At 38.6% G+C, this 17,622-nt stretch overlaps 1 protein-coding gene across 9 annotated transcripts in view; it reads right to left on the minus strand.

The window, feature by feature from the left end:
* Positions 1-5,022: 5,022 nt before the first annotated feature.
* The window catches only part of TAF1A (TATA-box binding protein associated factor, RNA polymerase I subunit A), a 35,829-nt gene continuing 23,229 nt past the window's right edge, over positions 5,023-17,622 (minus strand). For 4 of the 9 annotated variants that reach the window (XM_006711612.2, NM_005681.4, XM_047433596.1 and 1 more), the window contains 4 exons: positions 14,977-15,043; positions 14,091-14,214; positions 12,282-12,436; positions 9,230-9,690 (listed from right to left, as the gene is read on the minus strand). In XM_006711612.2, the coding sequence (XP_006711675.1) occupies positions 9,578-9,690; positions 12,282-12,436; positions 14,091-14,214; positions 14,977-15,043 (459 nt within the window). In that variant the 3' untranslated portion in view covers positions 9,230-9,577. Of the gene's footprint in view, positions 5,408-8,819; positions 9,187-9,229; positions 9,691-12,281; positions 12,437-14,090; positions 14,215-14,976; positions 15,044-17,391; positions 17,444-17,622 lie in introns of those variants that run through there. The other 5 variants (XR_007064852.1, XR_007064851.1, NM_139352.2 and 2 more) reach the window with 3 other exon arrangements.

Consider the following 17,622-nt stretch of genomic DNA (forward strand, 5'->3'; position numbering starts at 1 on the left):
AGCCTGGGCAACAGAGCAAGACCATCTCTAAAAATAAAAAAAAATAAGAGATGCCAACAGGTTCAGTGTCCGACGAGGGCTCTGTTCCTCATTGATGGTGACTTGTTGCTCCCATGGTGGGACAGGATGGTTCAAATCCACTCCTTCAAGACCTTTTATAAAGACCCTAATCCTATCCATGAGGCCTCTGCCTTCATGACCTAATCACCTCCCAAAGGCTCCACTTCTTAATACTATCACATTGGCGATTACATTCCAATCTATGAATCTGAGGTAGGGAGGGACACATTCAGACCATAGAAGAGGGAGGTGGTCCAGTGAAAACAAGGAATCAACAAGGACTGTTTGGGACAATTTCCTCAGGAAGCACAGGACAACTGGGTGCCTTCCTTTGCCAAATCTATACCTGCTGTAGGGACACTCCTCCTCACTTAGTATATGTTCCCACATTAGTATTTTAAAAATGTGTTTTGTGGCCGGGCACAGTGGCTCATGCCTGAAATCCCAGCACTTTGGGAGGCCGAGGCGGGTGAATCACCTGAGGTCCGGAGTTCAAGACCAGCCTGGCCAACATGGTGAAATTCCATCTTTCCTAAAAATACAAGAATTAGCGGCCAGGTGTGGTAGCTCACACCTGTAATCCCAGCACTTTGGGAGGCCAAGGCGGGCGGATCACAAGGTCAGGAGTTCAAGACCAGCCTGGCCAGCATGGCGAAACCCCGTTTCTACTAAAAATACAAAAAATTAGCTGGGCATGGTGGCGCATGCCTGTAGTCCCAGCTACTCAGGAGGCTGAGGCAGGATAATTGCTTGAACCCAGCAGGCGAAGGTTGCAGTGAGCCGAGATCATGCCACTGCATTCCAGCCTGGGTGACAGAGCAAGACTCCATCTCAAAAAAAAAAAAAATTAGCTGGGTGTGGTGGCGGGCGCCTGTAATCCCAGCTACTTGGGAGGCTGAGGCAGGAGAATCGCTTGAACCCAGAAGGCAGAGGTTGCAGTGAGCTGAGACTGTGCCATTGCACTCCAGCCTGGGCAACAAGAGTGAAACTCCATCTCAAAAAGTAATAATAATAAAATAAATATAAAATAAAATAAAAACGTGTTTTCCTTTGTCCACATCCCTTGCACATAACAGGCTTTGATAAATATTTCTTGAATGAATAAATGCAGAACAGGAGTCCCAAACTCACACAGCCCCAAACCCAAACAAGCATGAGCCAAGGTGTAGGCCAATGGGGACATTTGGCACTTGAGCTAACTCTCCTTTCAGCATTTTCCATGGTTCTGGTCCACCTTGAATTTCCTTACTGGCAAAAGCTTCTGTTTGAAACGCAGATGAAGTCCAAGTTTCTTCTTGTTCCAGATGTGCTGCTTCAGAGGGTGCCCTACCTGGCTGCCCAACTCATCGCCAGAAACAGTATTTGCCAGGGTATCATCAAGAAGGGACAGTGAACCTCAGTCTAGCCAAGTCTATACTCACAATGTTCTGGATTATGAAAGCCCCAAATAGCATTTAAAATACAAACAAAATTGGCCAGGTGTGGTTAATGCCTATAATCCCAGGACTTTGGGAGGCCAAGGCAGGAGGATCATTTGAGCCCAAAAGTTTAAGACCAGACTGGGCAACATAGTGAGACCCTGTTGCTATAAAAATTTTTTAAATTAGCTGGGTGTGGTGGCGTGTATCTGTAGTCCTAGTTACTTGGGAGGCTAAGGTGGGAGAATTGCTTGAGCATAGGAGTTCGAGGCTGTGGTGATCTGTGATCACACCGCTGCACTCCAGCCTGGGTGACACAGGAAGATCCTGTAGATAGGTAGGTAGGCAGAAAGATAGATGCATAGATAGATAGATAGATAGATAGATAGATAGATAGATAGATAGGAGGGAGTAGTCAGAATGATCATCAGAATAGTCCTGCTTTCCTATTTGTACTGTTCAGTACTACACCTAGTTGGCCGGGTGCAGTGGCTCATGCCTGTAATCCCAACACTTTGGGAGGCTGAGGCGGGTGGATCACTTGAGGCCAGGAGTTTGAGACCAGCCTGGCCAACATAGCGAAACCCTGTCTCTACTAAAAATATAAAAAAATTAGCTGGGTGTGGTGGCACACGCCTGTAATCCCAGCTACTCAGGAGGCCGAGGCAGGAGAATCACTTGAACTCAGGAGGTGGAGGCTGCAGTGAGCCGAGATCACACCACTGCACTCCAACCTGAGTGACAGAGTGGGACTCTGTTTAAAAAATATATATATATATAATATACCTAGTTGAGTGGTGCTTTTTAAAACATGGGTCACACCTATAATCCCAACACTTTGGGAAGCTGAGGTGGGTGGATGGCTTGAGCCCAGAAGTTTGAACAGACTGGGCGACATAGTGAGACTCTGTCTCTAGAAAAAAAAATAAAAATAAAAAATTAGCCAGATGTGATGGCGCATGGCTGTGGTCCCAGCTACTCAGGAGGCTGAGGTAGGAGGATTGCTTGAGCCCAGAAGTTCAAGGCTGCAATGAGACATGATTGCACCACTGCACTTCAGCCTGGGTGACAGAGTGAGACCCTGTCTCAAAATAAATTAAAATTAAAATAAAATAAATGTCATCCATGATTCACTGTTGACTGTGCTATTTCTTCTGGGTTATTTGCTCAAATGTCACAGAATGTCATGCTTCTGGAAGCCTTAAGCAGGAGGAGTAACATGGACTAATTTCAGCCAGTGAATTCACCCCCACTGCCTTCTCAGAACCATCAAACCCTGGGATATGGAAGAATGAGTGCATTATCTCATCCAGGTAGGACCTGAGAGTATTTTCTGATCTTCTCATGACATTTATGTATCGATTTCCCCTTTGTCGTGAACAATATGGAGATCTTATTGTTTTGAGCAGAGTCACTGCAAGATTAGCAGGGAAAGATGGGCGGGCAGAATCTGATCAGACAGTGACAGCATGAGTTTCTGATTACTAAAATATGTAACATTTCAGACGATACTACGTTTTAGATATAATCGTGTATGTAATTATGGCCAGGCATGGTGGCTCATGCCTGTAATCCCAGCACTTTGGGAGGCCGAGGTGGGCAAATCACAAGTTCAGGAGTTCGAGACCAGTCTGACCAACAAGGTGAAACCCTGTCCCTACTAAAAAAAAAAAAAAAAAAAAAAAAAAAAAAAAAAAAAAAAAAAAAATTAGCTGGGCGTGGTGGCATGTGCCTGTAATCCCAGCCACTCAGGAGGCTTAGGCAGGAGAATCACTTGAACTCAGGAGGCGGAGGTTGCAGTGAGCAGAGATTGCGCCATTGCACTCCAGCCTGGGTGACAGAGCGAGGCTCTGTCTATATACATATATATGTAATTATATAATAATCATGCAATAATTTTACAAAAGATGTCTTGGTGTCAATTCAGTAAATACATACTATTTTGTGTGAAGTATTATGCTGGAATAGAAATGTTTAACAGAAAACTGACATATAAAACAAACTTTTTCAAGGAGTTTATGCTCTGAGAAAAAAGGATGAAAGTATCCAAATAATACTGGCAGATATAAGATTAAGGTAACAGTAAGGGAGGAACAAACTGCCATTAGGGATCCCAAGGACGGAGAGATGACATTCGGCTGCAGGGGATTAAGAATATCATAATGAAAGTTGACTGGAGCTTTTAGATAAGTTATAGATGGAAAAGAACAGAAAAGACATTTTCACTGAACATTAGGTGAGCTTATAAAATAACTCTGAAACTATAAGCTAGGACCAGACAGAGTATCTGAAATCACTTCAGTTTCCACTTTTGAAGCAAACATAATCCTTTAAAAAATTAGCTTGGGCTGCTGTTAACACAGCCACAAACTTGGTGGCTTAAACAACAGAAATGTATTGTCTCACAGCTCGGGAGCCCAGAAGTCTGAGATTAAGATGTTGGCAGGGTTGGTTCCTTCTGAAGGCCGCAAGGGACACTGCTCCATGCCTGATCCCTAGCTTCGTGGGGTCTGCCAGCAATCTTGCATTCCGATTGTGGATGCATCACCCCAAGCTCTGTCTTCATGTTCACATGGTGCTCCTTCTCCCTGTGTGCGTTTGTGTCCAAATTTCCCCTTTTATAAGGACACCAGTCATACTGGATTAGTGCCCACCATAATGACTTCATTTTAACATGATTGTCTCTGTAAAAACTATCCCCAAATAAGGTCACATTCTGAGGTACTGGGGGGTAGGACTTCAACCATTCTTTTTTAGGGGACACAATTCAGCCCACAGCAGTAACACACACATTCACACACACGCACACAGTTTCATATAGCATGTGCCTTTTAACATCCCCCCCGCCGCCCCGCACAAGACAGGGTCTCAGTGTCACCCAGGCTGGAGTGCCAGTAGCTGGAACTGCAGGTGTGTGCTACCACGCTCAGTTAATTTTTACTTTTTTTTTTCTTTGTAGAGACGGTGGTTTCACCATGTTGCCCAGGCTGGTCTTGAACTCCTGGGCTCAAGTGATCTATCCCCCTCGGCCTCCTAAAGTGCCGGGATTATAGGCATGAGCCACCATGTCCAGTGCAAGTGCCTTTTAAAAAGTGATGTTGAGAGTCAGGTGTTTATCCTAAATCAGGTCATGGAACACAACAGAAAAAATATAAAAAGAAATGTTCTAGCTCAGTAGCTTCTCATATAGTTTACTGATGTAACTATCTATCTGCCTTCAGACTCCCTCTGTCACAGTCTAAAGATGAACAGGTTGTACCTCAGATTAGAGAAAGTATAACAACTCACTTGTACGAAGCATTACAGTTTACAAAGTATTTCCCCACACTGCATTTCATTTGATCTTCAGTTCTCTCAAGACAATTAAGTCAGCAAGGTAGATATATTACCAGTGAGCATATGAATGAATGAAGTCCAAGAGGGGTTCAGTGAAATATTTTAGGGCCCCACTTTAGATGAATAGAGATGGCAACACAATTCAGGTGTTCTGAATTACAGCCCAGATCTTTTTCATTCCATCAGGATGTACCCAAAAAGAACGAAAGTAGTTATCACTTTTATTTGTTCTTCATTTGGAAAAATTTGTCTGATGCAGCCTACTGAAGAGTGTATTGACTGAAGATTCAGTTCCATTGATAAGATTATCTGGGAGTTCTTGGTATAGGCAGGAGGGGAGTTGTAATTAAACAACTGGCAGTGGTATCACTATGGGACTGACGGGCGGAAACAAAGAGCCGCCTCTACTCACTGAGCTAAAGGCTACCTTCATAACTATGAAAACAACATAGAAGTCAGCTTCGTATTTTTTATGGGACTGAGTCGACTCTTACCTGGTGGCAGATTGGTTTAGAAGCATGAATCTTGGATTGACTTATTCAGATGTTAGTCATATTATTTGTAGACCATCCATCAAAGGTCTTGCTTGTTTCCTTTTGGAATATTTAAAATACAAAGATTCTAATTCAATCCAGCAGAAAAAGCCCTTGTGCTGTAAATATAGGTAAATAACTGGGTCCAAAAGGGCACACCTATCTGTTTTTTTAATTTTTGTTGCTTTTCCTTTTTCAAAAATGTTAACATAAAACAATGTTTCTATTTATTGAGAAAAAACATTTACCAGGACCCATGCTCAGCACTTTACATCAACCTTTCCAGACCATCCCATTTTACAGAATAAAGGTGAGGCCCAGGCTAGGTGGGGGGCTTCAGTCATGCTGGAATTTGAACCCAGACCTTTCTGACTCCATAGAACATTCTTTTATTTCTTTTTATGAGGGGAGGTGGGAAGGGAATGGGGTGTTGACAGCTTTACAGAGATGTAATTCACATTCCATATAATTAATCAGCTAGGGACTAATAATCCAAAATATAGAAAGAACTCATACAACTCAATAACAAAAATATAATTCCACTTTAAAATGGGCAAAGGACCTACATAGACACTTCTCAAAAGAAATTCAAATTGCTAACAGGTATATGAATAAGTGCTCAACATCTCCAGTCACGACGGAAATGCTAATCAAACCAGGAGATACAGCCTCACACCTGGTAGAATGAATCGTATCAAAGGTCAAAGATAAGTGCTAGGGAGGATGAAGAGAAGAGGAAGCGCTTGTATGCTGCTGTTGGGGATGTAAATTATGGAAAACAATATGGAGGTTCCCCCAAAAAATTGAAAATAGAAATATCTGGGTATATACCCAAAAGAATTGAAATCAAGGTTGCAAAGAGATATCTGCACTCCTATGTTCATTGCAGCATTACTCAACGTCCTTTGATGAATAAAGATAGGGTTTATAAAATTACAATTACATACTGCTCAGCCTTATAAAAGGAAGAAATCCTGCCATTCAGAACATGGAGGACATTATGCTGAGCAAAATTAAAATAGGCAAGACACAGAAAGAGAAATACTGCACGATCATCTCACTTGTATGTGAAATCTGAGTCCAATTCATAGAAGCAGAGGGTAAGATGGTTGCCAGGGGCTGAGGGAAGGGGGAAATGGAGTGATATTGGTCAAATGGTACAAAGTTTCAGTGATACAAGATGAACGATTTCTGGATATCCAATGTCCAGCATGGTGATGACAGTTCAGTACTGTATTACATACTTGTAATTTGTTAAGAAAGATCTTATATCTTCTCATCACACATACATACACAATACATACATAATGGTAATTATGTAGAGGTAATGAAGATATTAATTAGCTTGATTATAGTGATAATTTCAGAATGTATATCAAAACATCAGGTTGTACATCCTAAATATATACATTCAGAGGTTTCAAGGAGAAAACAAGACTTTAAATTATCTTTAGTTATTGCTAACGTGTCTTAAAATAGTCGTGACGAATGGTTATAAGTAGTAACCATATAAGCAAGCAGTCCTGTCAGACTGTTCCAGCACAGTATTTCAGCTCACTGCTTATATACAGGTGGTAGGGTTCAGTACAGTGCAAAATCACATCAAACTTGCTCAAAAGTTACATTCAAGCAGAATCTCATCAAGGTTTAGGTGTAAGAGTACATCTGGTTATGGATTACAGAAGCATAATCACTAATCCCATCAGACATCTCATGTGTAAGAAAAGGCAAGGACTGGGGTCATTTAAGGAATGTAGTGACTCAGGCAAGCGATGTGGGGGTGCCCTGTGCCCTGTTTTGTCTTCAAGGCATCTTTCCAGAGAGTTGCATGTCGTCACAGGGTCAGGGGCTTTGTGAAATGATGCTGGCAGGCAGAAATGAGCAGACCTGGGTTCTTTTTGCTGCTTTGTCTCACTCCACCACCTGGCTCAGCTCTCTGCATGTAGTCAACACTGACTGCACTGGGAGGCCATACAGATACTACATGAGAGTGTGATCTTTGGAACCACATTGATTGGGTTGGGATCCTGGTGCCAACACCTATGAGCTGTGACCTTGGCAAGTTACTTCATCTCCAATGACCTCATTTTCTTTATTGGTAAAATAGGAATAATTCATAGGACTGTGGTGGTTTTACAATGAAAGGTAAAGCCCAATTTTAGCTATTACTGTTATTCATGGAAGCAGCTTAAACATCAGTGGACCTAAAAAAAGTTTCACAGGTGACTTGCACTACTCTTACTGAACATTTGATAAGAACATTTGATGTAAAAATGTTGAGACAGCTTTGTATGGAAACCAAGAATCAAAACTACTCATTTCTTTTATTCTCACCTCCATTTTCTTAGAGATCAAGAGAAATCATAGTCCTGTTTTATAGCTTTTGACTAAAAGTTTCAGGAAGTAGATCTTGGCCTATGCTTTCAGATTTTTTCCACATCGTCTGGGAATTTCATTGCTAGAGTATTGGTCTTATACAGAACTCCTACACAACCGAATTATGGACTCCCTATTTATGTGGAAGCTTTAACTTGGTTTATTTTGGCTCTGTGGAACACCTACTCATTTTACATGTACTTTCTAAGTGCTTCTTTATTGATAGACCTTTCTTACTAAGTAATATTGAAATATAAACTATTGACAAAGCACAATTTGCCCCCTAACCTTCTTGCAGATGGTTTAGAATTAGTAGGACTATAAGCCAAAGGGAAATGTGTGTCTCGCCATCTAAATATTAGACTTGCTCTGAAGTTAGTGAGTCTTCATGGAACTCAATTACTAGTTATTCCAGCAGTAAATGTAAAAGCCAAGACATTTCTGAAGAAGCACTTATTCTACCAATTATTCCAACATATTATAAAGCTCAGCTCATGTTCCAGGAAAGTTGCTGTTGGCTTCTGGCCAGGTTTTCCCCATGGGTTTACTGTGTGACTCAGGGACACTATCCCACCGGTGAGTTTCCTCCAGTGTCCAGTCAAATACCGCTGCATCCTCATTTCCAAGAGAAAAAGGAGAGGGGATGCGTGAGTTCTTTTTCTCCAAGACAGAGTCTCGCTCTGTCACCAGGCTGGAGTGCAGTGACATGATCTCAGCTCACTGCAGCCTCCGCTTCCCAGTTTCAAGCGATTCTCCTGCTTCAGCCTCCCAAATAGCTAGGACTACAAGCGCGCACCACCAAGCCCGGCTAATTTTTTTTTTGGTATTTTTAGTAGAGACAGGGTTTCACCATGTTGGCCAGGATGGTCTCAATCTCTTGACCTCATGATCTTAGACTGCTGTGCCAGGCACCAAAAAAGCCGAGCCCTTTAAAGTTAGGCCAGTGCCAGCTGAAAACAGCCAGCCCACTCTACTGCTATGACCCAAATTAGTCCTCTAGAGTCAAAGGTCTCTCTCTAGCAGGAGGTTATTTTGCCCCAAACTGTCATGTCTTTATACTGAAAGAGTCTTTTTGTTTTTTTTTTTTTTTTTTTTTGAGACAGAGTCTAGTTCTGTCGCCCAGGCAGGAGTACGGTGGTGCAATCTCGGCTCACTGCAACCTCCACCTCCCGGGTTCAAGCAATTCTCCTGCTTCAGCCTCCCGAGTATCTGGGATTACAAATGCCCGCCACTGCGCCCAGCTACTTTTTGTATTTTTAGTAGAGACAGGGTTTCACTGTGTTGGCCAGGCTGGTCTTGAACTCCTGACCTCATGATCCACCCACCTCGGCCTCCCAAGTGCTGGGATTAGAAGTGTGAGCCACTGCGCCCGGCCGAGAAAGAGTCTTTTTTCTAAATCCTTCTCTCTTTTCAAAATTCCTCAATAGAACTCATCACCAATATATTTCTTCATGGTGGTATACCTAAAATGGATTAATTAGAATATAAAAGTAGAATATAAATACATTTCACAGCACTACAAGTTACAGTTTATTACACAATAGCAAGAGGCAAAGTATTTGCAAACAATAACTGCTGTAGAGCTATATTCTGTAATTAGTTTGTCATTTGAAGAATTATTCCTTAACAAATGTAACATTTAACATTACAAAAAAGAAAACAGACATAGTTACAAAGAGCAAAGGCAGTAATATTGTTTCTCTAGCTATAAATAATACAAAAATATAAAAATATATAAAAATAAGTTTTTTGTAGTAATATAAGCTTCTTAATACACTACATAAATACATTCAATAACTATCTACCAAGCTACTTACTGTGTAGCTACAACTGTGAAATAACTAAAATTCAGTATCAGAGTCTTGGATTTACAATACTGTATTTTTTCACAGATCTCTTCATCCGCTTAATTTTCTTCCCTAAGATTTGGTGATCTTGCTTTAAAATATACCGGAAATATCTACAACCTAAAAAGTTAAGCAAAATAAAAAGTTTTAATACTCATCACATTTTTCAAGTATATTTCTACATTTTAAAAATTCTGCTTTAAGTTTAGCACACTAATGATTATGAAAATAGATTTATTTGTATTATCAATATGTCCTAAGCATATTCTCAGCTGTGCCCAATGAAATACATTTGTTCCTATATACAAAATTTATTTGTATTACCAATATGGCATAAGTATATTCTCAGCTGTGCCCAACGAAACATATTTCTTCCTATATATAAAGATGTTTCTAATCCACCATAATTAAAGCATAGACTTTAGCTTGTTTTCTACTCTTCCTCCTACACCCTAGTGATGGTGACAGGCATATTATATACAGTCACATATTAAATGAGCCTTCTCCAAAAGCACATTCGTATAGCTTCCTTCTCAATGTTAGCTTGTAAATCAGCCAAAGTTACGTTCATAACAGTAAGAAAGTTCTCTGTAGAAAATCTTAGGATGTGAAGGATTAGAATAAACAAATCATAGGTTAGAAACGGTCAAACATTATCTATTCATTCTAGCCATGTAGAGAGCAGCAAGGTGGAGACCATGTAGCTCTCACAGAGGTGCCTCATGCTCATTAGAAGTTCCACCTGCTGTTCATAAGTCTTACAACACACAAAGGACTGTCAAGCATTTGTCAAATATTTCAGACAAATGAATCATATTTCTGTAAGAAAAATGTAAACTGGATATTGAGGTTTTTTAGAGTTGGTAAATGAATAAGACCATAATTCACATATGAAAAATTAATTTCATTACAGTTTCAGCTTGTATGCATCCATCTTCTCTGAGAAAATGCAAGGACATATACTGTACCTATAGTAACCATTTTTATTATTCCTGAAACTAGTATGCCAGAATTGCTAACATCTTTGTTTTGTTGTTTTTCCTGAGATGGGGTCTCACTATGGGACACAAAGTGGTTTCAAACTCCTGGGCTCAAGTAATCCTCCCACCTCAGCCTCCCAAGTAGCTAGGATTACAGGCACACTGCATGCCACCGCACCCAGCTAGTAACGTTTTACTAGCTGGGAAGCAGTGGTGTCTGTAGTGTTACTAAAATAATTTGTATTTCTAAACATATCATACTACCTTAGTAAAAAACAAAATACTTTGCACACAGATTTTTGCCTGTACCTATATAGAAAGCTGGAAAGAATTTCGTTCCCACCCTAACATAGAGAAAAAGCTTAATAAACTAACTCTCAAGTCCATGAGAGCTGAAGTCACAGGGCAACCAAGTAGCTTCAATCCCAACAAGGAAAGACCCCTCCAAGGAGAAATGGGCCTGGCTTGCTTTTAGTGCAGCATGGAAAGAAAGAGAGCCACCATACCCCACTCAAAGCACAAAGCAAAGGCAGACCACACCCAGAATTTGAATCCTATAAAGTAAGGTTGGTAACCAGAGCAAGAAGAAAACCCAGCTTAACTAATGAATAGACTGACTCAACCCCACACTAACAGCCTGAGAGGAGATGTGGCTCTTGCGGGAGTAACTGATGCCTGATATTTGTAGAGCACTTTAGAAATTACAAAGCACTTTGATGCGATGTTCACATGATACTTACAACAATAAGATGGGTGTTACAATGCCCACTTCATAGAAAAGGCTCCTAAAAGTTAATTGCTTGACCTAAGTTAGATAGCAAGGGAGTGAATTGGAAAATTAACCCAGATCTTCCTACTCTGCTCAAAGAGACCTCTTGATAATTGTGCTAGATGCCGCTCTACTCATAAAGTAGAAAAATGACAATCCAAATCACCTTTCTGTTCCTTGTCATCAGTGTATTGATTTTTATTTTCTTCTTAATCAACATTGTATTACATTCACTGAGACTACTAATTCCAAAATAATAGAAACCATATTCAAAAGTGAATTGGAGAATCTCTTCAGGACACCTTAAGCTCCCTAGCAATGGACTGCTTACTAGTGGTCACTGTAAGATTTATTTTCTTCATTTCTGGACATACTCTGTGGTAGTTTCATTTCGGTACTGGCCACCTTTTAATAATTTCAGTGGCAGAAAGCAGGTAAGAATTTTACCACCCAAAATATTTCTTTTCTTTGAAGAAAAAATCAATATCCCTTTTCTTTGAAGAGAATTTTTTTCATATGCTAGTAGGAGGTATTCTTTCTCTTAAGTGGAGGAAATGTTTCACGCTTACAGAAACAGGTAAGTAAATATTAGTATAATATGAAGCTATTAAAGAACAGTGAGGTCAATAAAGAATATTTTGACACTTGAAAATCTCAGTAAACTTTCTATAAAACAAGGCCAAATGGTCAATTATTGTGAAAACTCTGTATCATGTATCTTAATGGCCCCCTAACAACACTCAAGTCAGGAGATGAAAACCGTTCACAATCAATATGAAATCACTGCTTCTAATCTAAGCACATAGTCCCAACTCAGGATTCACTCTTCCATTGAGCAGTTATGTCTTAAGCACCTAATATTTTTAGGTACCATGTTAGGTAAGCTCTAAATGAAGGCCATACTTCATAATTTCAAAATCAGCCAAAGCTGTGTCTAGATAAAACGAAAATAAAAACTGTACCTTTTCCTAACAGTAAACCAGCCACAAAAGCTTTCTCACAGGCCAAAGCTGTATCTTCCTTCCAATCACTTTTTGCCCAAAAGTAGCTGAAATGAAAGCCTGGCCACCAGTTTTTCCTGGAGTTCCACTCTTCTTGAACCCACGCAAGGTGGTTTCTGGAAAAGAAAAATGTCAAAAGAGAGGGTCAATGATGGAAACAAATCTATATTATCAGAATTTAGACTTAACTAGAGTCTACAGAAAGATGACAAGGAAGATGCTTCCAAGCTAAATTCTCAATATGGCCAAGGCATAACACATGATTGGCAACAGCAGGAAAGCAAATCCTTTTTTGTTCTCTTCCATCTCCATATCCCATTTTCCATTTCACTAAACAGACAGTTTAGCACAGTGGTTACAGAACAGACTCGAAGCCAGAATCCTGGATTCAAATATCAGCTCTTCCATCTACTATGTATGTGATCCTGGGCAAGTTGCTGAACCTCTCTGAGCTTCAGTGCCCTTGAGGACATTAGTGGTACTGATCTCATAGGAATGTTATTAAGATTAAACTATTCTAGTAGTAGGGTACAGCAGGTCTCATATAAAGCTCTTTGCATAGTGTCTGGTACATAGTAAATGTTCAATAAATATTATCTATTACTATTACTTAAGTAAAACCTTACTTAAAATTATATGCTGCCATGAATTACTATCCAAATGGAGATACCATTATTATACAAATACATTAAGACATATGTTAAACTGTTAAGTGCAGGCAATTCTGTGTGTCTGTGAATAATTTTTTTTATTGTATATATTTAAGGTATACAACATGTTTCATATACATATAGTTAACTTTTTTGAGTGGTGGGAGCACCTGAACTCTACTCATAGTAAATTTCCTATATGCAATACAATATTAACTACAGTCTACGTTGCACATTAGATCTCTATAATTTAATTGAGCAAATGCTTATTGGCACCCATGTGCCCCCTATGGTAGAACAAATAGAGGTTCGAAAAAATGAACCTCTTTGCTTTCAAGGACCTTATGATCTAGTAGAAGTTTATTCAGGGCTTCAGATTTAGAAAATGCTTTACAGTGAGTGCGTCAACATATGACACCAAAACCATTTTATAAACAGCACTGTCCCATCGGGACAAGTCAGATCTGAAGCCTGAAACAATTTCCAACTGACACTGAATTGCCTAACAACTAAATTGGATATAATAAATATATGAAACAACTTTGTAATATCCCTTCTTCTCACACACTAAGTAAAAATAACAGGAAATTCATTTTCTTTTACTCAAAATGTGACACTAACAATATTATGATCAGAGGTACACTTTTAGATACCCAGGTCAAAATGGATTTAATGAGTATTTGTTAAATGACTAGTGTATGATGATCTTGTCAGGTCCTAAAAATACTCACTGAAAATGATCAAACACAGGTAGGAGGAAAGCTGCTTCCCATGTGATCTTACAAGTTAATGACGCACAAATCACAAAGAGTCTTTAGCAAAGAGTGATCCCTGCTAGTCTTTATTTCCAAATGGAAAACACATACGTATTCCTTAGCAAGCAGTAGTGCTAAGTACAGGATTTATTTTGATGGCATAAAAAAATTGATAGAATTTTTGTATGTTCTCCTTATGACTCTGTATTTCTTTGCTTCAGAAGAAAATGTACTCAGAAAACAGCTGAAGACACAATTCAAGAAATTATAAAACATAAGCAAAGATCTTTAAAAATTGATATTAGCTAAAATATTGGGAAATATTATTTATGATGACCTAGTAATAAACACTGTATGTTTCTTACCCCATTAAGATATTTTTCAGATATTTTGCCAAGTATTTCCAAGCAGTTATATTCTTAGTGCATCCGGCAAAATCTAAGACTCCAAATAATACCTCCAACCCCAGTTTACGGTGTTCTTCTTTTTCTGCAATGGTTTTAACAGTTCAAGTTTACATAAGGTATTAAAGTGTACAAAGCTAAAATTTACATGTATACATTTTATCAACTGTATATATACTTTACATATATGTTGTTGATAAAATACTGAATCATAAGCCTTCTGGTTAACAGTTTTTAAAAATTCATTATGCTCTTACTCCTGCAATGAATCTGAAAAACTCAATAAAAATCCCTGCTAATGAGGTAATGGTGGTGAATTTGATCTCAATATGGGTTACACTCCTCTACTAAGGACATTATTTAAAGTACCTGCCCTGTTTGGGCATTTTATACATGTTCTTTCATATTCAGAGAGGAACCTAGGCAGTCCTAGGACCAGCTTGGGCTTAGCCAGCTGATTTTCTTCTATGAAGGAGCATGCTCTCTTCTATGGTGTGCTGAAATGTAGCAGGGATTAAAATGGAGTGAATTATATAAAATCGAGCCATTTCTCTTTTGCAAACTACTGCCTTCACATTGTGTAACAGGAGTAGGCAAACTTTTTCTATAAAGGCCCAGATAATAAATATTTTAAGCTTTGCAAGGCATACAGTCTCTGTCACAACTACACGGCTCTGTCACTATAGTGCAAAAGCAGCCGCAGACAATACAGAAACAGATGGACTCCAACAGAACTTGATTTATAAAATCAGGAAAGGGGTGGATTTAGCCGATGGGCTAAACTAGTTTGCTGGTCCCTAGTCTATAGCTTGTCTACACAAGGTATAAAACAACATTTATTTATTACCTGATTTTCTAAGTAATGTATGGAATTCCAACATCAATTTATGAGATGGTACAATCTGATACAAAATCTGAAAGAAAGAACAGTCTTGTAATCTTTACATACTTGTAAAAGCATTTCTCAAATTTCAGCTTACTTTCAAAATAAAGTTCTTACTGTCTAATATGCTCCCTTTAAATTTATTAAGTATTTTAAAAATACCCTGGCTCTTTATCTAGTTTCAATCTAAGTATAGAAAAGCATTCTCTGTAAAGCTGTCTTAAAAAAAAAAAAAAAAAAAAGGCCCTGATAACAAAATAGTCAGGAGAAGTGAGGAAAATAGGCAGGGACTTTTTATTTGCTCCTTATACATATCTATACTGTTTACCACGCTCAACAACTAAAAACGATTTCTTTCAGAAGCCAGGACTGAAGAAAAAAAGAAAAAAATCAATTATCACACAGAAAATATACTTATTTACTAAACAGAAGAGATCACAGAATATTTATATAAAGCAAAAAAGCTAAAAAGGCTGGGAGTTAATTTCACAGATTGTGCTCAGGAACAGTTTACTAAGGTTATATGAGTAAATATTTTAACAACCTTTCACACAATGAAAAAATTAAAGATTTTTCTTTTAAAAAATAGGAAGGACTATTTTTATGAATATTCAAAAAATGGAATTTAAAGTAAAGCTGTATTTTTCATTTTAATACATTTAATACTAGAAATGAATTCATTCTGCTTACTAAAGTACTTTGACCTTACATTGAAATAATTTCCAACAAAATTAAAAGTAAATTTTGTTAATTTCTCTTAATCATTTTTAAAAAGATCAATCAAGATCAATACACCAATATCAGAGAATATTATTGAAATTCAGTTCCTATGAAAGTCACATTTGTCTCATGATTTTATAGAATTCTGTATATGGCTCAATTCACTTAGATTTTTCTATTGAAATATAACATGTAGTAGAAGTGCATACAAATCATGACACCAGTCAGTTTTCACAAAGTTAAACACTCAGGTAACCAGCACCCAGATCAAATAATAGCACATCACCAGAACACTAGAAATCCTCCATTTGTTTTGAAAAAGTCTTAGTCATGAGCCCTTCAAATGCCAGTGTTTTTAAAAAATTAGTTTGCTTGCTTTTGCCCTGTTCTATTCAGAGGTCCTCCACCTAGGACTCCAATGACAGGTATGTCAGATCTTTTCACCAATTCACTTGTATGCTCGTTTCTGCACCTTTCATCCTTTTTGTTCTCCATGGTTTAGCCTGATATTTTCTATGCAGTTCATTAATCCTCTCTTTTGCTATGTCCAATCTGCTATTAAACCCATGTATTGAGATCTTAATTCCAAATACCCTATTTTTCAAAAGGAAAAACAGAATTTCTCTAAATCCATCTTGTCTTGAATATAAATATGAGATAAGTATTCAACAGTTATTTTCTGTAGCATTTTAAAAAATCTTTTCAAAAACACCATTAGTGATTGATAACCTGAAAGCACAGTCTTGCTTTTGTTTTAAACACAATCCTTAATATTTTGTAATATAAATGAGCCAAAAGCTATCTTAAGAGAGTAAAATAAAAATAGCAACTTTAAAGGTATTGTTTAGTCCAGCCTGGGCAACATAGCAAAACCCTGTTTCTCCAAAAATACAAAAAATTAGCCAGCCATGGTGGCGTGTGCCTGTAGTCCCAGCTACTCGGGAGGCTGAGGTGGCAGGATCACCTGAGCCAGGGAGGTGGAGGCTACAGGGAGCCTCACGTGATCATGCCATTGCACTCCAGCTTGGGCAACAGAGTGAGACCCTGTTTCAAACAACAACAACAGCAAAGGATTGTTTAGTAAAACAAAGCCTGTTGAAAAATTTATAAAACTTAGTTTCCACATCTGAAGGTTTGATAATGCCAATTTTGATCACGAAAGTATAAAGATAATTGGCCTTTTAAAAGAAAACAGAGATAAGAACTTTTCTCTATCATTTCTTTAGGTTGAAAGGACCTTTGTCTTTCACCTCTAAAATGCCATGATTAAAAACTGAACACAAAATATACAAAGAATTCCTATAATTTAACAACAAAAACCAAACAACCCAATTCATAAAAGGGCAGAGGACTTGAATAGACATTTGCCAAAGATGATAAACAAATGGCCAATAAGCACATGAAAAGATACACATCACTAGACATTAGGGAAATGCAAACCAAAACCACACTGAGACACAGATACCACTTCACACCCACTAGGATAGCGGTCCCCAACTTTTTTGGCACCAGGTCCTGGTTTCGTGGAAGACAATTTTTCCACAGACCAGTGTGAGGGTCAAGGATGGTTTCGGGATTGCATTATTTATGCACTTTACATTTATTGTGCACTTTATATTATTACATTATAATATATAATGAAATAATTATACAACTCACCATAAGTAGAATCAGTGAGAGCCCTTGTTTTCCTGCAACTGGATGATCCCATCTGGGGGTGATGGGAGACAGTTACAGATCATTAGGCATTAAATTCTCATAAGGAGCACACAACCTAGATCCCTCCCATGTGCAGTTCACAATACGGTCCGGGCTCCTATGAGAATCTAATGCCACCGCTGATCTGACAGGAGGCAGACCTCAGGTAATGCTCACTTGCCTGATGCTCAC

The sequence above is a fragment of the Homo sapiens genome, chromosome 1 (genome assembly GCF_000001405.40).
Source record: "Homo sapiens chromosome 1, GRCh38.p14 Primary Assembly".
In the NCBI taxonomy this organism is placed as follows: Eukaryota; Metazoa; Chordata; class Mammalia; order Primates; family Hominidae; genus Homo; species Homo sapiens.